Source organism: Homo sapiens, chromosome 1 (assembly GCF_000001405.40).
Source record: "Homo sapiens chromosome 1, GRCh38.p14 Primary Assembly".
Lineage (NCBI taxonomy): Eukaryota > Metazoa > Chordata > Mammalia > Primates > Hominidae > Homo > Homo sapiens.
This window is the reverse complement of record NC_000001.11, coordinates 147,668,271-147,677,703: the sequence shown is the minus strand read 5'-3', so window position 1 is coordinate 147,677,703 and position 9,433 is coordinate 147,668,271. Positions and strand designations below refer to the sequence as shown.

At 43.9% G+C, this 9,433-nt stretch overlaps 1 protein-coding gene across 7 annotated transcripts in view, besides 5 other annotated features; it reads left to right on the top strand.

Moving 5' to 3' along the window:
• Positions 6,718–6,787: an enhancer, noted in NCBI's record as "active region_1635". NCBI's record gives its function as "activates an Ori minimal core promoter by ATAC-STARR-seq in GM12878 lymphoblastoid cells {active_cell/tissue: GM12878}" and the evidence as "EXISTENCE:reporter gene assay evidence [ECO:0000049][PMID:35858748]".
• Positions 7,180–9,433, top strand: part of ACP6 (acid phosphatase 6, lysophosphatidic) — a 40,867-nt gene continuing 38,613 nt past the window's right edge. For 5 of the 7 annotated variants that reach the window (NR_136635.2, NR_136633.2, XM_011509601.4 and 2 more), the window contains exon 1: positions 7,180–7,874. Coding sequence is in view for 3 of the 7 variants with exons in the window: in XM_011509601.4 (XP_011507903.1) it covers positions 7,656–7,874 (219 nt within the window). In the remaining 4 variants the exon portion in view is untranslated. Of the gene's footprint in view, positions 8,195–9,433 lie in introns of all 7 variants that reach the window. The other 2 variants (NR_136636.2, NR_136634.2) reach the window with 1 other exon arrangement.
• Positions 7,228–7,477: an enhancer, noted in NCBI's record as "active region_1634". NCBI's record gives its function as "activates an Ori minimal core promoter by ATAC-STARR-seq in GM12878 lymphoblastoid cells {active_cell/tissue: GM12878}" and the evidence as "EXISTENCE:reporter gene assay evidence [ECO:0000049][PMID:35858748]".
• Positions 7,228–8,332: a biological region, named in NCBI's record as "H3K27ac-H3K4me1 hESC enhancer GRCh37_chr1:147141494-147142437".
• Positions 7,389–8,332: an enhancer, noted in NCBI's record as "H3K27ac-H3K4me1 hESC enhancer chr1:147141494-147142437 (GRCh37/hg19 assembly coordinates)". NCBI's record gives its function as "activates a minimal SCP1, AML or CMV promoter by ChIP-STARR-seq in naive H9 embryonic stem cells {active_cell/tissue: H9 hESC(naive)}" and the evidence as "EXISTENCE:reporter gene assay evidence [ECO:0000049][PMID:30033119]".
• Positions 8,118–8,177: an enhancer, noted in NCBI's record as "active region_1633". NCBI's record gives its function as "activates an Ori minimal core promoter by ATAC-STARR-seq in GM12878 lymphoblastoid cells {active_cell/tissue: GM12878}" and the evidence as "EXISTENCE:reporter gene assay evidence [ECO:0000049][PMID:35858748]".

Genomic DNA, 9,433 nt, shown 5'->3' with positions numbered 1-9,433 from the left:
TGAGGGAGTGAGTTCTCCCTATTTAGCCCTTTATTGCCCTTCTGCCCTTTCATCATATGATCATGCAACAACAGGACCATCTGTGGAGCAGAGAGCAAACTTTCACCAGATGAGAAATCTGCTGGCACCTTGATCTTTGATAACCCAGACTTCAGAACTGTGAAAAGTAAATTTCTATTATTTATAAATTATCTAGTCTTAGATATTTTGTTACAGCATCCTGAATGGACTAAGACAGTAACAAACTTTTTTTTTTTTGCTTCAATGAAAGTATTTCTGGTTTGTCTTTATTTTTCCATCTCATCTTCCATAAATGAAGATTCTAATACAGACACCTTGTTAATACCAATAGTATTCCATTCATGTCCATGTGTTGGAAAGTCTTTGTGATAGATAATAATTATTCTTGTATTAGAAGCTTTGCTTTGTTTTCTTTTTTCTTGAGGATTATAAAGGCATATAAGACAGCTTTCTAAACACAGTCACCTATACGTGATTCCCAAATTGTAATGAAACGTGTCTCTGGTATGTCTCAGAACATAAATGTTTCAGATTTCAGATTTTTTTTAACTTCAAACTAACAGTATCATACCAACAGAAATACCAGTATTCTAGTACCTTTGAAAACAGCATGGAATATCAGAGTGGTGGAACATTGAAAACTGGTATTGTAAGTCACTCTTCTGTGGGCAATGGGGAGCCAATAAAGATGTTTAAACAAGGAAGTCACAAAGATGTATAGACACAGACGTACTCTGTTAGAGTTGTAGGAGTTGTAGAGAGTATTAAGCCCACCTCCCTCTGTCCCTCTGTCGAAAGGTCAGCAACTTCAGCATGAGTCACCAACAATGCATACAGGAAGTTGATTAATGAGGAAAGAAGAGATTGGAGAAAGGCATGAAAGACATCTATTATTCTCCCCTCATCATTCATTCACTCTTTTTAAAGTAAAAACAGTTATCTGAACCTCTTTTGAAGAATCGCCTGTACCCCCTAGTAGCTCATTTAGTTTGGGTGGGTTTGACTTCCCCTTCAACTTCAGGGATGGTTGGAAATGACTGGTTCAAGCATTAAGCATATATCTCAAATCTGGCAAAAAATTCTGAGGCCCAGAATTTCTGCTTGTGTGGGGAAAAGAGCTCTTTATTTCCAGTTAGACTGCTTGAGTCATTGTGTAATGAAGGGGTGAGCTCTGAGTCACCAGAAAAAGTTTGAGGACAAAGACAAAACAGTAGGAGACGGAGCTGGAGGCTACAAAAGAAATAAAAAATCAATATTAACTGAGCTTCTATCCAGCTAAGCCTGAAGGCAGTTCTCCTGAAATTTTCAATTGTGTGGGCTAATCAATTCTTTTGTCTTTTTTCCTGTTAAACCAGCTTGAATCAGGTCTTCTGCCACTTGCAACAGAAAGAACCTAAGTGATATTAAGGAAAAAACAGGAAGCCATCCATCAGGATTGAGAAAATGGTAGGAAAAAAGAGACTTATTGGAGAGAAGTCACAAAGGAAAGTTTTAATCTCTCATCTTACAGGGGTATTATCCATGCTAAATATCACACAAATTGCTACCCCCTCCCTAATATAAGTTAAGCATTATAATATCTGTAATATCTGTGACTCATAGTGTGGGCCCAGATGCCAGACAAACATGGGTTCAAATTTAGTTTACTCAGTTTCTGCCACTTAAGATCTGTGCATTCCTGGGCAAGTTACTTCTCTGTTCTCTAATTTCAATTTCTTCCTTTACAAAATGGTGATAGTACCTACAACTGGAGTTACTATAAGGATTAAATGTCACATTACATAATGCCATGTATATGGTTATGGTAAGCACTTAATTCAATTACTATTATTGATGTTTTTCCTTTTTCCAAGCTTCCTGGAGATATAACTGGGGGAAATAATTTGTTGGAGGTGAAACTACCAATCTTCCCTGCTTCACCATCTATCTTTACCTCCTCCTCTTCATTTTAATAGAAGTGACGACCCTTAATGAAAGATGCAACCCTTCTCTCCTGTCCGAGGGTGACCCTTCCTATTTTCTTCTTTATCACACATTCTCTCAACTCCTTAGGAATTTTTCTCTACCAATTATTTCTTTTTGTCTTCTTGTTTCCCCTCCATTGGGAATTGTCCTCATTGTCTTAGTTCATTTTGTGTTGCTATAAGGGAATATCTGAAGCTGGATAATTTATAAAGAAACAAGTTTATTTGGCTCATAATTCTGGATGGCTGGAAAATTCAAGGTTGGGCATATGCATTAGGTGATGGCTACAGGCTGCTTCCACTCATGGTGGAAGATGAAGGAGAGCCAGTGAGTGCAGAGATAACATGATGAGAAATGAAGCAAGGAGGTGGGGAGGTGCCAGGTTCTTTTTAACAACTAGTTTTTGGAGAGTGAGAATTTATTCACTTCTGAGGGAGGGCATCAATCTATTACTCATGAGGGATCTACTGCCATGACCCAACACTTCCCATTAGGCCCCACTTCTAACACTGGATCAAATTTCAGCATGAGGTTTAGAGGGGACAAACATCCAAACTATAGCACCCATTTTATAAAAAACACCTCCATACTAAAACTAAAACTAACCCCTCTTTGACTCTCTATCCATAGTTTTCAATGTGTGATCTGAAGAGCTTCTGTATCAGAATCACCTGGATGCTTGTTTAAAACACAGAGTTCCAGACTCCACTCGGCTATAGTAAGACATATTGGTGCTCCTGTACCTACATTCTAACAAATAAGCCAAGTGATTATGATGTACCATAAAGTTGGAGAAAACTGTTCTCTATTGGGCTCTCCATGGTACCTGGCAAACCTCTGGCTACCTAGCTGTGACCCTCTCTCTTGTGTATACTGTGGGTATTTTACTTTCTCACATTCCTCAAATTGTCAGGAGCACCAATCACCACCCCTCTAACTCATACTCTGATTTTGCAGAAAAAAAAAAAAACAAAGAAAAAAGCCCCATGAATCTCCATGCCATGAATGTATTTCACCCATGCCTATTCTTTCTTATTCCCCTCCTATAAACATGGAAAATACATACTTTTTCTTTCTGAAGCTAATTATGCCACTTAAGCTCATTTCTGATTTTATCCTGCCCTCCTAAGCACTTAATCAGATCTATTATCCTGTCTCTCCTTATCTGGAAACTTATTTCTATCAACATTTAAACATATATACAAGCTTCTCTCATCTTCAAAAGACAATTCTCCCTTAATTTCATGAATCAAACACCTCCAGCTACTGCATTTTTTCATTCCCTCTTCTCAGCTAAGCTTCTTAAAGATGTCTACACTTACTTCCCACTTGCATTCCATTTCTGCCCCATTATTGGATTAGGATTCCACTATTTCACTGAGACTGCTCTCACTTAACTAACAGAAGATTACTTTGTTGTTAAATCCATTGGACACTGGACCTTACATTACTTGGCTTCTCAGTTCCATTTGACACTATTGTCCATTCTCTTTTTTAAAAAAACCTTTTTTCTCTTGGCTTCCTTGATACCTAAGTACCTTATGATCTACATATTCAAAATTAACTTGGTCATTTCTGCTTAACCTCCTTCCCAGGTGCATGGCATCATCTGCAGGTTGTCCAAGCCAGAAACGTAGAGTAGTCATCCTTGACTCCTTCCTCCTTCTCACTTGTTAACTACCTCTTACATGTTTCATAGCTGGATTGCTGCAACAGCCTCCTAACGGTCCTTTCTCCAGTTTTGCTCCCATCCAATCCAGAGTAATACTCTGGAGGGAAAGATCATAGTTATACTGGCCACTAGATTCTAAATATTTTCTATAGGTAAGTTTGAAAATTAGGCACCAAGCTTCCTGACAACCAAGACAAAATTGAAGGAAAAGTAATCTTCATACTTCTTAATGCTTGTTCTAATTCTAACACTCTAAACCAAATTTCTCAGGAGGAGATTTATAAAGGAAGCAATAAATGATGTAATGAGCAATGGCTCAACAACATTCCTATGATATATCCTATAATTTCATTTGGCAAGTATTTATGGAGTACTTACTACAAGCCAGGCACTGTGCTCACCACTGGGGAAAAAAATGTGAATGTGGTTGTTTCTTATCTAATCTCATTATTAAAACTGAGTTTTTACATAATATTAAATGCAATCCTCTGAAGACAATTTGGCTGGGAAAGGGCTTATTTCCCGAGCCATCCCTGCCTGGTAGTTTAAAACCAGGGTCAAAATAACAGCTACTCAGTGTTCCCCTGCTTCCTGCAACCACCCTAACACCCCCACCCACACGGTCCTACCCTGGGTCAGGACTTCCAGTCTCTCTCTTTCTCTCTCTCTCTCTCTCTCTCTTTTTTTTTTTTTTTTTTTTTTTGAGATGGAATCTCACTTTGCCGCCCAGGCTGGAGGGCAGTGGTGCAATCTCGGCTCACTACAACCTCTGCCCCCAGGTTCAAGCGATTCTCCTGCCTCAGCCTCTCGAGTAGCTGGGATTACAGATGTGTGCCACCACACCCGGCTAATTTTTGTATTTTTGGTAGAGACAGCGTTTCACCATGTTGCCCAGGATGGTTTCAAACTCCTGACCTCAGGTGATCTGCCTGCTTTAGCCTCCCAAAGTGCTGGGATTACAGGCGTGAGCCACCGCGCCCGGCCCAGCCTCTTTTAAATTGCAGCTCACTGCCACTACTATCACACACAAAATACATCTGGACTCCCCATGGTTTGTCTCACATGTGTTGACAAACAGTGCTTTTAACAACCACATGAAATCAGCTATTTTCCACCCTCACTCTGGTTTCTTTTGGAGATCTGCTGCTAAGTTGTTCCCCACACTTCCCCACACTCCCCCTCCAACAGGACACATGAGCCCTGACAGGACCATTGCTGTATTAGTCCGTTTTCACACTGCTATAAAGATACTACAATTTATAAACAAAGGAGTAAATTTACTCACAGTTCTGCATGGCTGAGGACAGGGGGAGGCCTCAGGAAACTTATAATCATGGCAGAAGGGGAAGCAGGCACCTTTTTCACAAGTTGGCAGACCAGAGAGGAGAAAGAAGGAGGAATTTCCAAAAACTTATAAAACCATCAGATCTCCTGTGTGGAGAGAGAGATCCTTCTTTCTCTTCTTATAAAGCCATCAATCCTACTGGATTAGGACCTCACATTTATATCTTCACTTAACCAAAATTGCTACTGGAAAGGGGTCCTGATCCAGACTCCAAGAGAGAGTTCTTGGACCTCGGGCAAGAAAGAATTTGGGGCGAGTCCATAAAGTGAAAGCAAGTTTATTAGAGAAAAAGAGAAACAAAAGAATGGCTACTCCATAGACAGAGCAGGGGCATGGGCTGCTCAACTGAAAATACTTATGGTTATTTCTTAATTATATGCCAAACAAGGGGTGGATTATTCATGAATTTTCTGGGAAAGGAGTGGGATTTCCTGGAACTGAGGGTTCCTCCCCACTTTAGGCCATATAGGGTAACTGCTGGCCCCGACATTCGTAAATTGTCATAGTGCTGATGGGAGTGTCTTTTAGCATGCTAATGCATTATAATTAACGTAAAATGAGCAGTGAGTTTGACCATAGGTCACTTCCATCAACATCTTGCATTTGGTTGGTGTTGGCCAGCTTCTTTACCACTTCCTGTTTTATCAGCAGGGTCTTTTTGACTGGTTTCTTGTGATACCAGTCCTGCTGACCTCCCCCCTCATCCTGTGACTGAGAATGCCTAACCTCCTGGGAATGCAGCCCAGTAGGTCTCAGCCTCATTTTACCCAGCCGCTATTCAAGATGGAGTCACTATGGTTCAAATGCCTCTGACAGAATCACCTTCTAAAAGTCCTATGTCCAAATGCAGTCACTTAGTGGGTACGAATTTGGCGGGGGACACAACTGAGTCCATAGCAAACAGTATTCGATTTTTAATCACATCAGCACACACAATAAGACTCTGAAAAGTGAGTCCCTTGGCTGGGCTAGGGAGAAAATTGTGACAATATGTAGTGTTCCAAAATGACCCTCCTCCCTGCATCAGGGAGGGGAGCACTCAGAACCTTCCAGCTTGGTGAACAGAATTTGTTCTCAGGCCAGGAGCCATGCTCTGTAAGTATGTTGTCTTTACATCTGGCCCAGTTTGATCTTTGGAGATAGACACATAGTGGGTCCCAGATTGTGTCCTGTTGCAAAGATCTGGAAACACAGGCTTGGGATACCTGTATATCAACAGAAACCAGACTAGCAGGTGGTAAGGCTGGCATTGTTCTGTGTTCTTAGGTTTTTTTTTGTTTTTTTTTTGTAGACGGAGTCTTGCGCTGTTGCCCAAGCTGGAGTCGTGTGGCGCGATCTCGGCTCACTGCAAGCTCCGCCTCCCGGGTTCACGCCATTCTCCTGCCTCAGCCTCCTGAGTAGCTGGGACTACAGGTGCCCGCCACCACGCCTGGCTAATTTTTTTTTTTTTTTTTTTTTGTATTTTTAGTAGAGACGTGGTTTCACCGTGTTAGCCAGGATGGTCTCGATCTCCTGACCTCATGATCTACCCGCCTCGGCCTCCCAAAGTGCTGGGATTACAGGCGTGAGCCATGGCGCCTCTTAGGTTCTTAATCACTGGGACACCCACAGGCAAGGCCTGGCTTTTTCCACAAGAAGTATTCTGGATGGAAGTAAACACATCAGTGACCTGAAAGTTCTACATGATTACAATGACTTAAGCTTGAGAATTTTTTTAAAAACAGAGAAGGGAGTAGTAAATGACTAAATATAAAGCACCTAGTGCTGTGTTTCGCAAATGGCAATCACTCGGCAGGTGTCTCAGCTCCTCGCTGCAGCAACCAGGCTTCCAGGACTGGAAGGAAGTCTTCTACATTCAAAACTAGACTCAAACTACTCCCCTCCACCACCCAGTTCTACTCCTGCGCTCGCGATCCTCCTGCCTGGCAAACTCCATGGCCCGACAGATTCACTACCACTCCACTGCCGGACCAGGCACGTCCGTGGGCCATCCACGCCTGGAAAACGGCTGGCTGGGCCGGAGGGGCGAGGCCCGCAGGCGAGGGGGGCGGGTACAAGCCACTTCTTGGGAGCCGCGGTACGCGCAGCCTTGTGGGAGTTGTAGTTTCCGCAGCTCTGAGTCTCCAGGCGAGGTGTCACCACAGGACTCGTTTTCCCGTGCTCCTGTGCGCGGGTCCACTTGGGACGGGTCCCTGAGTAGGTGAGGAGGTGGGTAGGAGCTTGCTTATAGAAAAGTGGAATCGAGTAGTCCTTGCTGGTGGAGCCGCTGCCGCCAGGGAACTCAGGGCCGGCTCCTGTTCCTTCAAGAGTGCTGGAGGCCAAACTTGAAATACAAGTTTAATGTTCCTCGTCGGGCAAAAGATAAGGATCCGATCTCCCCCGGCCCGGTGTGCAGCAGGAGCGACCAACCCCGACCCGGGTTAAAACTCCCAGGGACTCTTCGCTGCTGCCACCTCTTGTTCTCTCCCCCGTTCCCACTCGGGGTCTCCCTCAGGGCCGGGAGGCACAGCGGTCCCTGCTTGCTGAAGGGCTGGATGTACGCATCCGCAGGTTCCCGCGGACTTGGGGGCGCCCGCTGAGCCCCGGCGCCCGCAGAAGACTTGTGTTTGCCTCCTGCAGCCTCAACCCGGAGGGCAGCGAGGGCCTACCACCATGATCACTGGTGTGTTCAGCATGCGCTTGTGGACCCCAGTGGGCGTCCTGACCTCGCTGGCGTACTGCCTGCACCAGCGGCGGGTGGCCCTGGCCGAGCTGCAGGAGGCCGATGGCCAGTGTCCGGTCGACCGCAGCCTGCTGAAGTTGAAAATGGTGCAGGTCGTGTTTCGACACGGGGCTCGGAGTCCTCTCAAGCCGCTCCCGCTGGAGGAGCAGGTGAGAGGTCGGCCCGGGCTGGGGCTGGTGGGGCGAGGACCGTGTGCCAGGCCAGGAGTCTCGCCCTGACACACATCTTCAGAGCTTTACTCGCGCGGAGCGGGGCTCGGGTTGGGTCCAGAAGAAGGGAAAACAGCAGTAGCCAGTGACTCCCCAGGCTCTTGAGCAAAGGACCTGCTGGGGTTAGGACAGCCCCGGAACTTCCAGTTTTGCCCTGATGGCGCAGCCATCAGTAAGCGCTGCTTAAGACGCATGGGAGTCGCCTGGGGATCCTGCTACGTTGCAGATTCTGATTCAGCAGGTGTGGAGTAGTGCCCCAGGTCAGCATTTCTATTAAGGGTCTAGGTGAACTTGAATACAAGGGTGCAGTGCACTTCTGTGTGACCATTTTGAAGGTGGTTTGTCAGAGCTGAAGGGCTGAAGGGACTTTAGTGATAGGAACCACTCTTAACTGAGATTACAGTGGATAAGAGGTCGTTGCCTTTGGAAACAAACTTTATAACTGCTTTTTCTCAGGGTTTGCTGGAGGCCATTTGAGATCTCCTGAAGTTTTTTTTTGTAACAAGTGTTGTATTCTAGGGTTCTCCTTTTCTATTTAAGGTTACTAAACCTATAGTGGGAGGGATCTGAGGTCGGAACAAATTTAAAATGGGCTAGTCTGTGGCAGTAATGTTTTAAAAATCTGTCTGGTTTTGTCAGGATAATTATGACTAAAGCACAAATAGTTTAAAAAAAAATGATTATCTTTCCTGGATGTGACTTTTTATAGCAGAAAGGCCTAGTGAAGAGGAACAGGCAACCTGAAATCCCCAAACTCCCAGGTATTACACCTGTGGAGTGCTTTTGTATCGTTGGTCTTCCAGGTTGATGTTGGAGGAGGTCGAAAAGATTGTCCAAAATTGATGTTAGGTATACTCTTCATAATAACAGTTGCTTTCTAGAAACCTTCAGGATTGTGTCTTTACATTGTACAACTGGAAACCCATTTTTCAAGGTTGGCCGCACATGAAATTAAACTTCTAAAGCATTTTCCACATAAATAAATACATTTGGAAGGCACTTAATTCTATTACCAGGTTTCTAGTTAGCCTTACTCTGGCTTTACCACTTGCTCTCTGGAACCGGGATTTCTTCTTTCATTTTGATTCTTTGATTTTTTTTTCAGTCTCTTACTTTGCCTTTTTATATTAGATCACTAAATTTTCCTTATGATTTTGTATACAGCCCATCTCTGATGCTCCCCTTCCCCCAATTCTTCTCTATTTATTCTTGGTACAGAAGGACTGGGGAATCACATGTAGGAATATATATTATATTCACGTAGAAGACAAAAAATTATCAGTGGTAATGGAGAGTAAAACTTTGAATGTGTAGGCCTAGACCTAGTATGTACCATATATATATATATATATATCCTGAAGGCACTAGGAAAAGATTTAGATTCTTTTAGGGCTTTATCCCTAAGGGAGAGTGGGTGTGTGATGGATATCTTCTGCCTTTATGGTTGAAAGGTCCGTTGTAGCTTAGGATACCAGCTTCATTCATCTTCAATCTGTGTA